Source organism: Homo sapiens, chromosome 8 (genome assembly GCF_000001405.40).
Source record: "Homo sapiens chromosome 8, GRCh38.p14 Primary Assembly".
Taxonomy (NCBI): Eukaryota; Metazoa; Chordata; class Mammalia; order Primates; family Hominidae; genus Homo; species Homo sapiens.
In genome coordinates this window covers 28297624-28315879 of record NC_000008.11, presented here as the reverse complement: position 1 = coordinate 28315879, position 18256 = coordinate 28297624, and the positions used below count along the sequence as shown (strand labels likewise).

Sequence of the window (18256 nt, the reverse complement as noted above, 5' to 3'; positions counted from 1 at the left end):
CATCTCCATAAAAAGAAAATAGGAAAAAGACAGCAAACATCTGCTCAGGTTAAGAGCAACAGGTTCTGAGAATAAAATTTCCCTTCCGTCTGTGTTCACAGCAAAAGGGCTCAGGAGACCAGCATACTCATGATTCTTCACTTAGATCTCTGTTGCCCAAACCTTACACTGCAGGTCGCAGCTACCATTTTGGACTCTTTGGGAAACCAGCATGTTCACTGACTGACACGGGGTCACTTTTGCATCCTGATGTACTTCAGTGTCTCAGGCCTGGAACCTGATTTCATACATGATGTGGCAGATATTGCAGGCTGCCTACCCAATCCCCATTTCCCTGTTCTTCCTTACTAAACGGTACCCTTGATTTTATTCCAGGCATCAATGCACTTAGCTAAAAGACTACATTTCCCATTGACCAAGGGTTGCCAATGAGCATTAAGCTGCAGGTCCTTGGGTGGGGTTTCCAGGAAAGCTTTTTTTTTTTTTTTTTTAGACGGAGTCTTGCTCTGTCGCCCAGGCTGGAGTGCAGTGGCGCCAACTCAGCTCACTGCAAGCTCTGCCTCCCAGGTTCATGCCATTCTCCTGCCTCAGCCTCCTGAGTAGCTGGGACTACAGGCACCTGCCACCATGCCTGGCTAATTTTTTTTTTGTATTTTTTTTTAGTAGAGACGGGGTTTCACCATGTTAGCCAGGATGGTCTTGATCTCCTGACCTTGTGATCTGCCCACTTCGGCCTCCCAAAGTGCTGGGATTACAGGTGTGAGCTACTGAGCCTGGCTGGGAAAGCTCTTTTAAAGGGGGTCAACTCACTGAAGGCCTCTCTCTCTTCTTTGTCCTCCCTCCATCCTGCCTGGGACACAAATGTGATGGCTGGAGCTCTAGCAGCTATCTTGGATTATGAGATAAGACAACTTTGAGGATGGAAGCCATGAGTAAATATGATGGAACATAAAGATGGAAGGATTTTGGGTCCCCCATGACTAATGGAATGGCCATATCAGTCTTGGACTCCAAACTTCAACCTTTTTTTAAAAACAAAAAAAAAACAAAAAAAACCCCAAACATTTATTTCAAATGTCAGTCAGGGTTCAGTTACCCATTGCTGCATAACAAGCCACACCAAGGCCAGAGGCTTGAAACAACAGACCACGTATTTGACTCATGATTCTACAGATTGGGAATTTTGGCTAGTCTCAGCAGGGCAGTTCTTCTGGTCTCAGCCTGACTCTCTTCTGCACCTGCAGTTGGACTCAGAAAGTTGGCTGGGTGTCAGCTGGGGACCTTGGTTCTCTTGCACATGTCTTATCCTTCATGGGTCTCTCACATCCCTCCAGCATATTAACCTGGCATAGTCTCATGGCAAGCCTGAAGTGAAAGCACAAGCAAATACAATCAAGCAAGGGAACAACCGCAAGCACACAGAACCTCTTGAGACCTAAGCATGGAGCTGGCAGTCCATTGCTTTTGCTACATTTGTTGGCTAAGGCCAGTTGCAAGACTGTCCAGAGCCAGGCTGGGTGGAGACTACAAAGTCCCAGGATAATAGAGGGTGGCTATGCAGAAGCCATTCATTGGAGGCATTTGAAACTTTTACTTCCTATGATTTAAGCCATTTAGTTGGATTTTCTATTACATCCAGTGGAAAATTACCTTAAACCAACACACCTGCCTTTGAGCACCTCGTCATTCCCAGGATGTTCAGGCAGCTAAATGCTTTTCTTCCCTTGCAGTTGAGGAAGAGAAAGAGCAAGAGTGAAAAGTCACTTAGCTTCTCTGGACTTTTCTTTCCTCATTTACCAGACAGAAGAGTTGAACCCAACACCTGGATATTCTTGGTGGGTTGAATGAAGCTGCATGTGGTGGCAGGCTGTCTCCAGTGATGGATGGGGAAGGGCAGGATGAACCCAGGAGGGAGTTTAAAACCACTGTTGGGTGGGGGAGTAGAAGAATCTTGCCCCTCAGAAAAGCACAAGTAGACTAGAAATGGTGCAGACTGTGTGGCGTTTGTGATGGCTTCAGGGCTTCCCCCTTGCCACACAGCCACTGAGACTTGGCACTTTGAGAGCCATGGGCTTCCCTTGGGTATGGTAACTGGTCACAGAGCAGCAAGCTGCCCCCTGCTTTTCTGATTGGCAGGATACATTTATTAAAATAGTTGGAAAAGAAAGGTCACATGTTCTTATTTCTACTGCTTTGTGTGTGTGTGCACGCGCGTGTGTGTGTATGCGTGTGTGTGTGTGTGCACAAGAACTTGGAATTAATAAAATTCTTGGCTGGGCGTGGTGGTTCATGCCTGTAATCCCAGCACTTTAGGAGGCCAAGGTGGGAGGTTTGCTTGAGCCCAGGAGTTCAAGACCAGTCTGGGCAACACGGCAAGACCCTGTCTCTATAAAATATAAAAAACTAGCCAGGTGTGGTGGTAAGCACCTGTAGTCTCAGCTACTTGGGAGGCTGAGGAGGGAGGATTACTTGAGCCTGGGAAGTTGAGGCTGCAGTGAGGCATGATTGAGCCACTGCACTCCAGCCTGGGTAACAGAGTAAGACCTTGTCTCATAAAAATAAAATAAAATAAAATAAAATAATGATTTCTTCTGCTTATGAGGTGGCGGAAGTTCACTCCTGCCCACACCAGCTTGGCATCTTCTTTGCAATAGAGGCCCAACCAGGGAGGCTGCAAACATTAGAATCCAATCTGTACTGATAGGTAAGTTTTGAGGCAGATTGAGAAAGCTCTTAAAATTGTCATCAGAATATCTCAGTAGAGGAAGTACAAGGGAAGGAGGCAGCTGCAGCTGGGCCCCATGTGCAGCTCAACGCACCTCCACCCACCTGCCAATTTTCCCCTCTCAGAGTAAAGAGCCTCTCCTGGCCAGGTATTTGGCTGCTTGGAATTTACTGATTAATTACGGCGCCTACCTCCAATTGGTCTCCTTAGTAACCACGTTAGCAGGGTCCCACTGGAAAAGCTGCTTCTTACTCAATGAGGGCAAACTCTTCACATTTTAAAACACTTTTAAGTCAGAACACAATGGATTTTAAAAATAGAGGGACACACACATTTCTTCACAACTTTGCATCAAAATATGGATGGACTTTTGAACTATTGAGGGCAAGTTACACTTTAGTAATCAGCAAGAGCTAGGTTTAAAGGAAGAGTTGGGTGAATACAGTTTCAATGCAAATGGCCAATGATTGCCTTTGCAAGTATAGGTTTGACTACCAGAGTATCCAGCCTCGCTGGGCTAGGTGATGTGAGAATGAAAGATGTCCTTACACTCAAGAAGCCGGCCCAGGGGACAAGTTAGATCAATGAATGGTGACCAGCACAGCATTTGCTATAGTGACTCAGACTATTTGAGAATTAGGGAGCACATGATAAGGTGCTAATTGTGGATCAGACTGGAAGTGAAAGAGAAGTTCAAGAGAGGAGAGTGATGTTCAAGTGATGTTTATCTTATTTTTTGAATGACGTGTTAAGATGCTGAGGACAAATTGCAGGTTCTGAGTGGGCAGGAAAGTGGCCACTGGGCTTTAGTACAGGCATGTAGAAGGATTAGTGGGTGTATTAGTCTGCTCGGACTGTTAGAACCCAGTGCCACAGACAGGGCTTCAACAACAGAAGTGAATTTTCTCACGGTTCTGGAGGCCGGGAGTCTGAAATCAAGGTGTCAGCAAGGTTGATTCCTTCTGCGGCCTCGCTCCTTGGCTTGGAGATGGACATCTTCTCCTTGTGTCCTCACGTGGCTGCCCCTCTGTGTGTATCTGTGTCTTCATTCTCCTCTTCTTTTAGGAACACCAGGCCTATTGGATTAGGGCCCACCCTAATGACTTCCTTTACCCTACATCACCTCTTTAAAGGCCCTGCCCCCAAATGCAGTCATGCTCTGAGGGGCTGGGGTTAAGACTTCAGCATAGGAATCTGGGGGATGGGTGTACAGTTCAGCCCATAACAGGGGAGTAATGAAACTGTGCTCACCACATAATGGGGATAAAATCCCAGAAGGGGAAGTAAAGGTCACCGCAGGACATGCGTGAATAATATGCACAGGGCATCCCTTCCACCCTCAGCCCTGAACCCAGGAGCTGGAATCCCTGGACACTAAGCTGACAATGTGCCCCAGTGTTGCCATGTCACAATGTCCTGGGAACACCCCATGCATGTCCCATGGCTACACCTTAAGAGCCCCATCAATATGACTAGAAGCTGTGTCCTGAAACTTGAATGTTAAGATCATAGAAACCTAAAAAATGCCATGCTCAGAATAAGAAGGCACCCAGGTGTCCAGATGTCCAGGCGTCCCAGCATCCAGGCACTTCAGAAGCCTGATCACAATCCCTGAAAAGCTTTGTAGGATGGTGCAATTGATTTGAATGCCATGGAGGGGGTCTGATACCCTTCTGTTTCATAATTTTTCAGAAATAGATGTATGTTCCACGTTGGAGAGCCAACCCCCCTTCAGCTTGGCCCTCTGTTAAATTAGTCACAGGTTTCATAGGTTAGCTCATTTGCTTTCACAACTCCACTCTTTGTGGGGGTCTCTTGGGGCTCCCTCCAGCCCAGATCTCCGCTTGGATTTTGGTACCATAATTCCAGCGCCTTTGAGATGTTCTCACTCGGATGTCATTTTGATGCTCACAAGGATGTTGTGATATCCCTGTTAGCTAAAACCCCCATCTGCATATTCAGTGTCAGTGATGACATTCTCTCAGCCACTCTATTTTATAACCTGAGCCATCTTTCTTCTCACTCCTTCCCTCATCCTTTGTATTCAGGTGTTACCAAATGTAATCAATTCATCTCTACAGCCATTTGTCACAGTTCCTAGTGTGTGCATGCTCTCTCCCCACTCTATTTCTTCAATCTATCCTATATACTGCAGCCTGCCTAATATTTTTAAAATGGTATTTTCATTTTGCTTCAATCCCTTGCTCCAGAATTCTAGTTTAAAGGCAAAGAATGATAGTAGTAGAAGGTAGTGAAACTGAACTCCAAATGCCAGTGGTTGAGTTGAGTCCTGGCTTAGCCCCCACATTGCCGTATGATTTGAGCCAAACCACTCCTGCTACCGGGGCCTTTTTGTAGAGATGGGGTCTCACTATGTTGACCAGGCTGGTCTCAGACTCCTGGCCTCAGCAATCCTCCTGCCTAGGCCTCCCAAAATGTTAAGATTACAGGCACGAGCCACAGCAACCAGCCTTGAATTCTTATTCTTTAAAATGGGCATAGGGGCCAGGTGCAGTGGCTCACGCCTGTAATCCCAGCACTTTGGGAGGTCAAGGCGGGAGGATCGCTTGAGGCCAGGAGTTTGAAACCAGCCTGGGCAACATAGTGAGACCCTTTCTCTATGAAAACAGAAAAATGATAGGCATAATAATACCTAACAATGGTGGTGTAATAATTTATTCAGTTAATATAAATAAAGGAGCTTTGAAAACTATAAAGTAGCAGACAAATACAAAATATAATGATTATTCCTCAAGGCCATCTCAAGTACAACTAACTCTTAGGCCTAATTAAAAGGTGGCCTTTTCCTTTTATAAGCTTACAGCATTTTTCTGGATGATATGTCTGGACAACTGTTACTTTCAGATTTGCAGTTTGCATTGCAGAATGCACCTCATACCGTTCTCTGCTTGTACTGTATCTTGCCTCTCTAGAAAAACTGGAAACTGCTGGAGGGAAGCAACTTATATTCTTTCTTATTTCTATGCAACTGAGCACAGTGCCAGCCACACTGAAGTCAGTCAATTTCACATGCATGCATTGGGCACCCAATGCTTGTTGATATGCAGAAGGCATGTATTAATGGGCAGGGGATTCAATACCATATAATAAAAATTTCTGCATTCAAAGAGCTCACAGTCTGGCTTGGAGGATGAGCTGCAAGAACTAAAAAAGGTACAGATAGCATTTCTAGTGTTAGCAAAAGACACCTGGGTACTCAAGGCGAATGCATCTCCTCCAGCTGGGATGGTGGAAAAGGTTTGGCCGACGGGAGATTTGAGCAGGGTCTTGAAGGATGGGCGAGATTGGATAGGCAGAGATGAAGAAAGGGTGAGAATCAGAAGGCCAGGTGAGCTGGCCTGGAGGAGGCTTTGCAGAAGGCAGCAGCAGCAGAGGCTGTAAATGCATGTAGGGTGAGACTGTAAAAGGCCTTGAACAGTGGCCTCAATAGCTTACACTTTACCCAGTGGGGATTAGTAGGGCATTGGGAAGACATTGAATGTTTCTGTGCATGGGGAGTGATGCTATGGCAGTATTTTAGGAGTGGTCATCTAGGGCCGACACTAAATACTTATTTATTGGGGAGAGTGGGAGGGCCTCTATAGGTGTTCATCTGTCTTTATGTGGCTGGTTCTGTATGGATGACTGCAGCCTCAAAAGCCAGCTAGAAATAGACATACAAATGGTCCAACAACTGCACTGAAAGCTTTCTATTTTTTCGGCAAATAGTGTCACGTGAAAATCTCCTAATCCCTAGATGTTTCCTGTTTCTAGATCAGAAAATCTCAAATCTCAAATCTTGCCTTCACTACCACCATCAGAGGCGTGACAGCTTGCCACGGTCTGAATCCATGCTTAAATGGAAGAGAGTCCCTTCTTTCTGCTTCTCCCCTGTTCCTCATCAGAGTGTTGGTGTAAAGCTGGTGAAATGCCATTTCACAAAATTGTGTTTTTGTTCATGCAAGATGACTATCTTCCCAAAGCTATTTTGTGGTTCTGGAAAAGGAAGATATGAGACAGGATTTTTTTTTTTTTGAGAAAGAAAATAGTTTTAGTCCTTTGCAAAATCAAATAACAGATCTCTAAGATTTCTAAGTTCAGGTTTTTGGTATTAATTAAAAGACATGGCCAGAACAGCTTGTTGTAACCTTCTCCCTCCCCCATGGCTTCCCCCTACCCTGCCAAGGCTTCTGCTGGCTACATAGAGACGCAGACGCAGACACACACACACACACACACACACACACGTGCACACGCACACACAGCTGGTAGTTCCAGCTCTGTCATCATTACAATCAAAGAGCGTTTACTAAGCATCCACATGAGCTGGCGCTGTTAGAATTATTTGCCAAATGTATCTCGCTGAAACACATGAACACAACACCTAAAAAAATCTGAAGCCACATGGTCGGTTAAGATAATGCAATTGTTTCTCTGAGGGTAAGGTATGTGATTAACCTCTGTTGTCTTGTATAACAAACTGAGTGCAAATCCCCAGGAGAGGAACTTTTTCAGAGTGACTGACCGGACCTGCTGAAACTTTGCTGCGCCTTTCCCTGTGGCTTTGTGCCCCAGTGTTGACGAGGTACCCAGGCCTGGCTCCAGGAGTCCAGGCTCCTATCCTCCTGACAGATAAGGCTAAATGAGCATGGGGCTCCCTCCTGGGGAAACATATCTGTATTCCACACTGCCGCAGGCTTCCCTTGGGGCCACATCCAGGACCTGAATGTTTTATTGAACCATTAATAGTGAATTTTCTGCTTGAATTCCCTGCTGCTTGGAGACAAAAGGCACCCGAGGGCCCTGAGTCAGGGCTCAGAGTTTGGGTGCAAATGTTCTTATTTGCATTCCATAGCTCTGTGCATGTGTATACTCTAAACGAGACCAAGTCACCCCTCCCCCTAAGCTAACTGTACATATTGGTGTTCATTCATTTGACACACATGTGTGAAGGGCCTGTTAGTGCCAGGCACCATGCTAGGGGCTGGGCACAAACAAGAATGAGTCTAGATCCCAGCCGAAATGCACCAGAGCCCTCGAAGCTTAAAAACTGCATTTGGTACGAACACAAAGCAGTGCATGTCCCAAATGTGAATAGGCTCTGGAAGGTCTTAAATTAACGAACAATAGACTCAGAAGAGGGTAGTCAAAGGACGGTAAGATGATCATACTGGGTAAAATAAATACAGACGTGGATTGGTGGGAGACAAGAAAGCAAGCATTGATGTGGTGATTTTTTCTCCTTTTCCTTCCTTCCTTCCTTCCTTCCTTCCTTCCTTCCTTCCTTCCTTCCTTCCTTCCTTCCTTCCTTTCTCTCTTTCTCTCTTTCTTTCTTCTCAGAGTTTCACTCTTATTGCCCAGGCTGGAGTACAATGGCACAATCTTAGCTCACTGCAACCTCCACCTCCTGGGTTCAAGTGATTCTCCTGCCTCAGCCTCCCAAGTAGCTGGGATTACAGGCATGCTCCAATATGCCTGGCTAATTTTTTGTATTTAGTAGAGATGGGATTTCACCATGCTAGTCAGGCTGGTCTCAAACTCCTGACCTCAGGTGATCCACCCTCCTTGGCCTCCTGAAGTGCTGGGATTACAGGTATGAGCCACCATGCCTGGCCAAGATTTTATTTTATGTTCTTATATATATGGTAAAGTAGGGAGAAAAATTTTAAGGTTAGATGAGAGGACCTTACATATCTAGAGTCTTTGCAAGCAATACAATATTTTATACTGAACTATTTGCTGAATGAATAAACATTCTACCACAAAACAATTGTCCCAATAATTTCCTCAGCTGGAAAGTTTACTTACGGAATAAGAAATGGTATCTCCCCCACAAAAGAGAGGGTTTTTTTTTTTTCTCTGATTATACGAGCAATACATGCTCTGTGTAAAAACAATTTTAGACTATACAAAAAACTATAAAAATGAAAGCAATCTCAGCTCACTGCCACCTGCGCCTTCTGGGTTCAAGCGATTCTGTATTCCCAGCTACTCGGGAGGTTGAGGCAGGAGAATGGCTTGAACCCGGGAGGCGGAGGTTGCAGTGAGCTGAGATCGTGCCACTGCACTCCAGCCTGGGTGACAAAGTAAGACTCCATCTCAAAAAAAAAAAAAAAAAAAAAAAAAGGAATCCAATTAAGCTTATATATTACATTTTTTGGTCTTTTACTTTTTTAAATTTTGAGGCAGAGTCTTGCTTGCTGCAGTGCTCAGGCTGGAGTGCAGTAGCACTTCTTTTGTTTCTTGACATTGACTTTTTGGAGTGTTCTGGCCAGTTGTCTTTTGGATTGTCCCCATTCTGGATTTGTCTGGTGTTTCTTCATGATTAGATTCATTAGGAGGCAACTGCTGGTGATACTAAATTTGATTAATTAGTCAATACAGTAACTGAACAGTCTTTCCATTGTAATGATAATTTTGCCTTTCTAGTCAACGAGAAATCTGTGAGGTGATAACCTTGAGACTGAATATTCTGTTTCTCTATAACTCTTTATCCAATATATTTTTTGATGATTCTTGCTGGAATCAGTGATTATGTTGGGGATTGCACAATGATAATTTTCTATGGCTCCATCCTCATTTATTAATGGTTTTCTTGTAAAGAAGAGCTTTGCCCCATTTTCCTTCTCTCATTCTTTCTCTTTAGGAGCACTATGGATGTACATATCTTAAAAAAAAAAACACAAGATACTACAAACACTTACTGTAATTCTTTTCTGATGTTCAAATTGCCCCAGATTTGGCCTGTGGCTTCTGTGCTCTGGCATGACTCCATTAGTCTTTGAACACTGTTTTCTGGCACAGTGTGTTCTGGAATTACCTTGCACTTTCTTTACCCCAAATCTAAAATCAACCAAAAGAGAGAATCTGAATGGCCAGAGGAGAATCTCTGACCATTCACCCTTTATCCCAATGGCAAAAGAGGAGGGTGGGGTAAGGAAAGGGCCCCATAAAACAGATATTCCTGTCTATGTTTGTGTGTGTGGAGCGGGGAGTGGGGGCAGAGGGCAGGTGGAAGGGGAGTCCTTTGAGTGGTGGAAAAATCTGGAAGCCTTAACACCCCAGGACTTCAAGATTGGGACCAGTGTGCCTATTCTAATCCTTTCCTATGTTGCCCTCCTGGGACATATCCATTGCATGTTTCCACGTCACACTTATCTCTGTGTTCATTTGAACCCAGTTTTACCTGTATGAGAATGCTGGTGGGGGCATGACTGTGTTATTTACCGCCCTAGAGATGCACAGTCAGATAAACCCTGATAAACTCAGCTAATATGTACTGATCTCCTACTATGTGCCAGGAGAGCTGATTTCACAGACATTATCTCATTTAGGCTTCAAAGCAACTGTGCAAAAGAGGTGTGATTATTCTCTTCTGACAAGTGAGGAAATGGGTTTTAGATGAAGTAGCATCTCAAGCTTATGTGCTGCTAAGGAGCAGAATCTACACTTGTATTCAGTTCTTCAGACCTCAAATGTGGTATTTTCTCTCCTATTCCTTACAAGCCTGTGTGTGAAAACAACCCAGTTCCCTGATAGAGTCAGTCACCGGATGTGCCCTGATTACTTACTACATGCTCACCACTGTACTAGGCATGTCCAAGGATACATCATTTATTAAGCACTGACTGTGTAATTTATAAATTACCCACTGACTGACTAATTTATAAAGGAAAGAGGTTTAATGGACTCACAGTTCCACATGGTCGGGGAGGCCTCACAATCATGGCTGAAGGTGAAAGAGGAGCAAAGGCTCGTCTTACACGGTGGCAGGCAAGAGAGCGTGTGCAGGGGAACTCCCCTTTATAACACCATCAGATATCATGAGAATTACTCACTATCATGAGAACAGCATGAGAAAGACCCACCCCTATGATTCAATTACCTCCCACTGGCTCTCTCACACAACACGTGGGAATTATGGGAGCTACAATTCAAGATGAGATTTGGGTGGGGACACAGCCAAACCATATCAACTTGTTTAAAGAGTTTTCCAAAAAGGATATTGACTTGGGTGTCAAGATACCTTAACTGACAATTAGATACTTTTACATTGAGCATCTGTGGTGTACTAGGTATGTACATAAGGCATATGCTGTGGCAGGATGCTGTGGCTCATGCCTATAATCCCAGCACTTTGGGAAGTTGAGGTGGGAGAATCACTTGAGGCCAGGAGTTTGAAACCAGCCTGGGCAACAAAGCGAGATCCCTGTCTCTACAAAAAATGAGAAAAGTAGTCAAGTGTGGTGATGTGTGCCTGTAGTCTCTAAGCTACTTGGTAGGCTGAGGTGGGAGGATTGCTTGAGACCAGGAGGTTGAGGCTGCAGTGAGATATGATTGCACTATTACACTCCAGCCCAGGCAACAGAGTGAGACTGTCTCTTAAAAAAAAGTATATGTATTAATCTTCATAACACTCTGTTATGGACTGAACTATGTCTCCCTTAAATTCATATGTTGAAGCCCTAACCCCTAGTGTGACTGTGTTTGGAGTTAGGGCCTTTGAAGAGGCAATTAAGGTAAAAAACAGTCGTATAGGTACACCCTAGTCCATTATGACTGGTGGCATAAAACAAGAACAGAAAGAGACACACACACAGAGGGCAGGCCATGAGGACACAGCAAGAAGGTGGCTGTCTGCAAGCCCGAGAGAGAGACCACAGGAGCAACCAAACCTGCTGCCACCTTGATCTTGGACTTCCTGCCTCCTGAATGGTGAGAAAATAAATATCAGTTGTTTAAGCCACCCAGTCTGTAGCATTCTGCTATGGCAGTCCTAGCAAATTCATACTCATCTTTTCAAGAAAGGAAATAGGATCTCGACTTCTCAGATAAAATAGGACATAGTTCAGAGAGGTGAAGACATTTTCCCAAGGTCCCACAGATGGGAAGTGGTGATGACAGAATTCAAACCCAGGTCTGTCTACACTAAAGCTCTGAGCCTTTCCACTGCACTCTCCTTTGATCTAGTTCTGGCACTGGCACAGCCAAGGTCCTGGGTAAATGCCATGAAGGCAGGGATGAGGTCTAATTTGCCTACTATTGTGTCTCCATGGCCAGCCACAGTCCCTGTCAGCACTTGAGTGTTTGTTGGATGAATGTCTTTGCCTCAAAGAGCTTTATGATTTGGGTTAGATAAGAAACCAAGCAAGTATTAACCTCTATTAACCTCCAAACTGTTTTGGTGGAAGTTCTTAGAATAATAATTCAGAGAAGAGAAAGTTCTGGGTGGACTGGAACAACAAGAGAAAATTTTAGAAGGTAGACAGGACTCTGCCTGGACGTCAGTTCTCAGGACGCCAGGACAAATGGTCTTCACCATTTACCATCCATGTCCAATGGATTATTTATTTACTTTCATATCATAAGTCATCCTGTGAATACTTTACAGAAGTGAGAATAAAAGTATAGTGAAAAACAACTTTACTAAAAATTTTCATGAGAATGCAAACGTAGCCGACCTCTTTGTATCAAGTACATTTTGAGGCACAAACATAATTAAAAATGAAACACTGCAGTCATGTGCCCTTTTTTTTGAGACAGAGTTTCACTCTTGTTGCCCAGGCTGGAGTGCAATGGTGCAATCTCAGCTCACTGCAACCTCCACCTCCCGGGTTCAAGTGATTCTCCTGCCTCAGCTTCCCAAGTAGCTGGGAATACAGACATGTGCTACAACGCCTGGCTAATTTTTTTTTTTTTTTTGTATTTTTAGTACAGATGGTTTCACCATGTTGGTCAGGCTGGTCTCGAACTCCTGACATCAGGTGATCCACCCGCGTCGGCCTTCCAAAGTGCTGGGATTACAGATATGAGCCACTGCACCCAGCACACATGTCTTCTTAACAAAAGGAGATGGTCCAGGTTCTTGCCACAAATTTTTGCATGATGAAATCCTTTCTGTTGATTAACAGGGCAAAAATGCTGTATTTCATTTTTGTTCTTAAGAAGACATTTTTTGGCTGGGCATGGTGGCTCACACCTGTAATCCTAGCACTATGGGAGGCTGAGGTGGGCGGATCACGAGGTCAGGAGATCGAGACTATCCTGGCTAACACGGTGAAACCCCGTCTCTACTAAAAATATGAAAAATTAGCCGGGCGTGGTGGCGGGCACCTGTAGTCCCAGCTACTTGGGAGGCTGAGGCAGGAGAATGGCGTGAACCTGGGAGGTGCAGCTTGCAGTGAGCCGAGATTGCACCACTGCACTCCAGCCTGGGCAACAGAGCCAGACTCCATCTCAAAAAAAAAAAAAAGAAAAAAAAAGACATTGTTCATGCATTGATTCTTAAGTTTGAGGACACTTACTTAGGATGGTGTCATCTGAGGCCTAATAGCCTGAGATTTCACTTTAAGGATATATTTTACCATCATTATTCGTGTCTACAGTGCCACTCTCTGTCTCTTTTCATTTCATTTTCTGGTTCATCTAATAATTTGGAGTGTCTTTTTCTGTCCATTTTATTTTCTTTGCCTTTATGGGTGGAAAATGAAAAATTCAGATTTGTCAAGTGTGTTCAATGAAAGCAAAAAGCAGCCTACAAAGATGGTGTCTCCTGCCTTCTTTTGTACTTTCTTGAGAGACGGTGTCATTCTTTGGGTAATAAGAAAATGAAAGGAACAGTTCGGAGATTCCTCAAAAAAACTAAAAATTGAGTTACCAGATAATCCAGCAATCCCACTGCTGGGTATAAACCCAAAATATAGGAACTCAATATATCAAAGAGGTGTCCTCACTCCTATGTTTTTTGCAGTACCATTTACGGTAGCTAAGATTTGGAAGCAACCTGTGTCCATCAACAGATGAATGTATAACGAAAATGTGATACACGTGCACAATGGAGTGCTATTCAGCCATCAAAAGAATGAGAGCCAGTCATTTGCAACAACATGGATGGAATTGGAAATCATTATGTTAAGTGAAATAAGCCAGGCACAGAAAGACAAACTTCAAATGTTCTTACTTATCTGTGGGACCTAAAAATCAAATCAATTGAACTCATGGACATGGAGAGTAGAAGGATGTTTACCAGAGGCTGGGAAGGGTAATTGGGAGGGAGGTGGGGATGGTTCATGGATACAAAAAAGTTAGAAAGAATGAATAAGACCTATTATTTGATAGCATAATAGGGTGACTATAGTCAATAGTGACTTCATTGTATATTTGAAAATAAAGAATGTAATTGGATTATTTGTAACTCAAAGGATAAATGCTTGAGTGGATGGATAACCCATTCTTCATGACGTGCTTATTTCACATTGCATGCCTGTATCAAAACATCTCATGTGCCTCATAAATATTAGGTACTCACAAAAAATTTAAAAAACAATTTGAATTTTTTTTTTAAAAAAAAGGAAGGATGATGATTTGCTTCACTATTGCACCATCCTTCTAGGCAATTCCATCATTCGTCAATTTAAAAATTGTTTTCAGGCTGAGCGTGGTGGCTCATGCCAGTAATCCCAGCATTTTGGGAGGCCAAGGTGGGCAGATCACAAGGTCAGGAGGTTGAGACCATCCCTTCTCTACTAAAAAAAAAAAAAAAAAAAAATACAAAAATACAAAAAATTAGCCAGGCATGGTGGCACACGCCTATAGTCCCAGCTACCTGGGAGGCTGAGGCAGGAAAAATTCCTTGAACCTGGGAGGCGGAGGTTGCAGTGAGCCTAGATCATGCCACTGCACTTCAGCCTGGATGACAGAGTAAGACTCCGTCTCAAAAAAAAAAAAATTATTTTCATCATTCTTGGCATGGTTGGGAGCAATTGTTACTTAACAGTTGGGTTACTTATCAGTTGTTCCCAACCATGCCAAAAAAGATGAAAATAATTTTTAAATGGAAGAATGATGGAATTGTCAGGATAATAATAATTGAATAACAATAATTCCCAGGATAATAAAATAATAAAGTACCTCAAGATATAAGAAAAATAAGATCAGCTAGATCCTGTAATGCCTCTTATACACATTGCCCTTAGATAAAAAGGATCACAATAGACCCATATGGTAATTGCAAAATAAAATACGTTTTATTTAATTAAAAATATGTAAATTCTCTCTTTGTTCTTTGGAAGACCTCTAAGAAGAAAAGGCATAGAACATCAATCTTTATAAAGCGTTAGAGCTTACAAAAAGAAACATAATAGGGAATTGGGAACCATGGGTGAGGAGAGACAGGCACTTCCGCTATTGGAGGCAGCATTGGCAAACAAGCACAACAGGGAGAGGCAATACAGGTGTGGGAGTCAGTGAGTAAATCAGATTCACCACTGCTGATGCTTTGTTGGGGAGAGAGGCATCAGGTTGGAGGACCAATGATGGCCGCACATCAATTTGAGCCACGTGGACGCTATTCTGCAGGCAAGAAGCAGTGAGTCTGGAGGGTTTTGAGCAGGGTGGCATGAGGCATGCAAACATTTTCTTGGCTGTTTGTTTTGTTTTGTTTTTACTAGGATTGTGGAGCTTTATTCCCAAGGAGAAAATATTGCTTTTAACATGTAATAAAAACCGTACATAAGAATCTTTTTTTTTAGTTGTTGTCCATAAGTTTATTGTCTTTATTTGAAAAATCCTCATAGAAAATTGTTTGGTTTAGCTCTCAGCAGCCTGCTCCTAACTGAGGAAGCTTGCCTTCTTTTGAGCTACCTGATCTTTCTTCTGAGTGAGGGACATTTTGGGATGGTTCCACCTCTTCTTTTTAACTTCTTTCTTGGGCCTCTTTTCATAGACTGGATTCTCTCGTATAGCAGCATGAGCTTTCTTATACGTCTCCTCCATCGTGTCTAGAGTTATGCTGTTTTTTTTATGTATTGAGAGAACTGTTTCTTGTAAGCATCTTCATCTTGTTCCATTAAGTAGCGCATGTAATCTGCAACATTCTGGCCCATGATGCGCTTCTGGTGTACTTCTGCATTGCTTTCAGAATCATAACCAGGGAATCGTTTGGTACTGTGAGGGATAGACAAGCTTCTATCCACAGTTCCCTTCAGTGTGCCAAAAACTTTATTGCCAGTGATAGTTCTGGCAAGGCCTGCATCCAAATAGCAGGTAAAGGCACCTGGCTGACCATCAATGTTTTCCACATTGTATTCATCACCAGTCACCTCCATTTGGCCGTCATAGATGTTGTCCATGCCAAACCTATTGAGAAGACTGCAGGCCAGCAGCAGGCCAGTACAATATGCTGCAGCATAATTTGTTAGGCCAACCTTCACATCATATTTTGGCAGTTCGTGTGCATATGCCGCGCAGACTATAATTTCCCCCTCTATACGGGCATAAGCAATCTGATAAATGATATCTCTGTTTGTTACATGAACTATCATCCTGTATTTGGGTGTGCTGTATTTATTTTTATCCTGTATCACCAAGCATTTCCGAGAATAGTAATCAATTTTACCCTCTTGGCATCTTCTAAATTTCACTTGCTATCTCTTAAAGTAGCCCTTGTTCTTAACAACTTTAACAAACCCCATCCTGCGGAACAGAGGCCCAAATCCATGGCTCAACAGAGACCTGCAGGCCCAGCAGCGCTAGGGGGCAAAAAGGGCAAGAATCTTAACATTGAATTCAGATCATTGTGTATTTATTTTCAAGTACTTCAGTAGGGACTATATTCATTAACATGAATTAAAACCCACATGCTGTTTTCAAAGCCTATTAAAACTATATACCTATTAACAAATAAGCTATTTAGTTCAACTCTGTTTCATTGGAAGTTTACACTAACTCCCCAGGTCTTGAATGTTTTAGGTACCACACTGGCTTGCCATTAGGGATTGTGACGAAAAATACCAGACGACTCAGTCTGGGAAGGGGAAGTTGAAGAGTGAACATGATCGTAATCTCTAAAATGGTAAGAGCAGTGGATAAAGTGGACATGCATTTATTTTTCAAATTCTGGAGGAGTTTCATAGGGAAGAAGCTTATGGAACCATTATCCCAAGAGGTGGTAGTGCCTGCAAAAGTAATTTCAAAGATTAAGATACTTGCAGAGATGACAGTTATAATTGGCTATTAGAGAAAATGGAATGCTTTGGGTGGCGCACCCCAGAGGCTGCTGTCAGGGCTGTACATTTCCAGCTGCAGAGGCAGAGAGTCATACCTAGCTTGGCCCTTCTCATATCCTTGGGAGGCAGTTTGCTCCAAGAGATGCATCTTGCTTTCAGAACACATTCCCATTGACTTTTTTTTTTAAACACAAAACAATCATTTATTGCTGACTGAGCTCAGGAGGTGGTTCTCACTGGGGGTCTCTTGTGAGGATGCAATAAGACATTGATGGGAGGTGCAGTCATCTCAAAGGCTGTCTGTTGATGCTGTCTGTTTGCCAGGACCTCCACTGGGGCTGAGGACTAGAATGAATATACTCAGCCTCTCCATTGTTGCCTGGGTTTCTTCACAACATGGCAGCAGGGATTGAAGAGCAAGCGTCCCAAGAGAGAGCCAGGCTAAAGTACCTTTCATAGTCTAGCCTTGGAACACATGCAGTGTCACTTGTGCTGTTTTCTGTTGTCTTCCTTAGAAATGTGTCCCTAAGTCCAGCCCATATTCAAGACTAGGGGAATAGACTTTACCTCTCGAGGGGTGACCCATCAACTTGAAAAAAAAAAAAACCTGGTTGTTGTTTTATCATTGTCACACATTGATAATAATTATACCTAACATTCCCCCCATTCCACCCATTCAATGAGTCAAGCATTCAATCATTTAGCAAATACTTATTGCTAGGCATTTTGTCCATACTTACATCTGAATAGGGCTTCACAGTTTCCAGAGAAACTTTGTAACAAGTATTTGACTCGGTGTTCTCAACAACCATGCATGAAAGGCTAGGTGTGTTTAATTACTTCCATTTCTCAGATAAGGCAGTAAGAGGCTGGGAACTCATCCAAAGTCTCTGAGCTAGTGCCTGGTCCAGAGGTCATTCAAACCCAAGTCTGTCCTGGAAGGGCATTCTTTCCACTTACCACCCAGGACACCATCTTCCTCTCTCTCTCAAAATATCCAAGACCGGAGAGGAGGATAGACAGCCAGATAGACTTGCTCTGAGGTACTATGGCTTTTGCATGGGGTGGCCACAATTGAGGTATTTGAGGCATTTGAGGGTGAAAGGCAGCGCTATTGATAATGACCCTGGGGTGACAGGCACGAACCAGGCATACTGGACATAGGGTCACTTCACCCACAAATGCTCAAATAACTGGAACCCAAGTGTCTTGTGCTTTTCTGCCAAATCATGCCTTATTTTTTTAAACTTCCTACCTCTTTAAGCAAAACCAACAAATGCTATCAATGCCACAAGGATATGAGTGACCCATAGCTCCCCAGGAGAAGGCACAAGGGCATCTATGTGCTCACATGCAATTGCTTGGCCAGCTCCTGGAACCTGCTCCATTCCAAGTGAACTGAAGGGGTCTGGGGTGTGAGTTTGGGGTTGCTGGGCAGAGGCCTGCAAGGAGATGGTCCAGCCACCCCAGGCGTCTCATTTCCCTCTCCTGCTGCATCATTGGTTGGGGAGGCAGGAAGACCACA

The 18256-nt window shown here is 43.6% G+C and overlaps 1 pseudogene; it reads right to left on the bottom strand.

Annotated features, from left to right (window-relative positions):
- On the bottom strand, window positions 15253-16270 carry RPL5P22 (ribosomal protein L5 pseudogene 22; annotated as a pseudogene).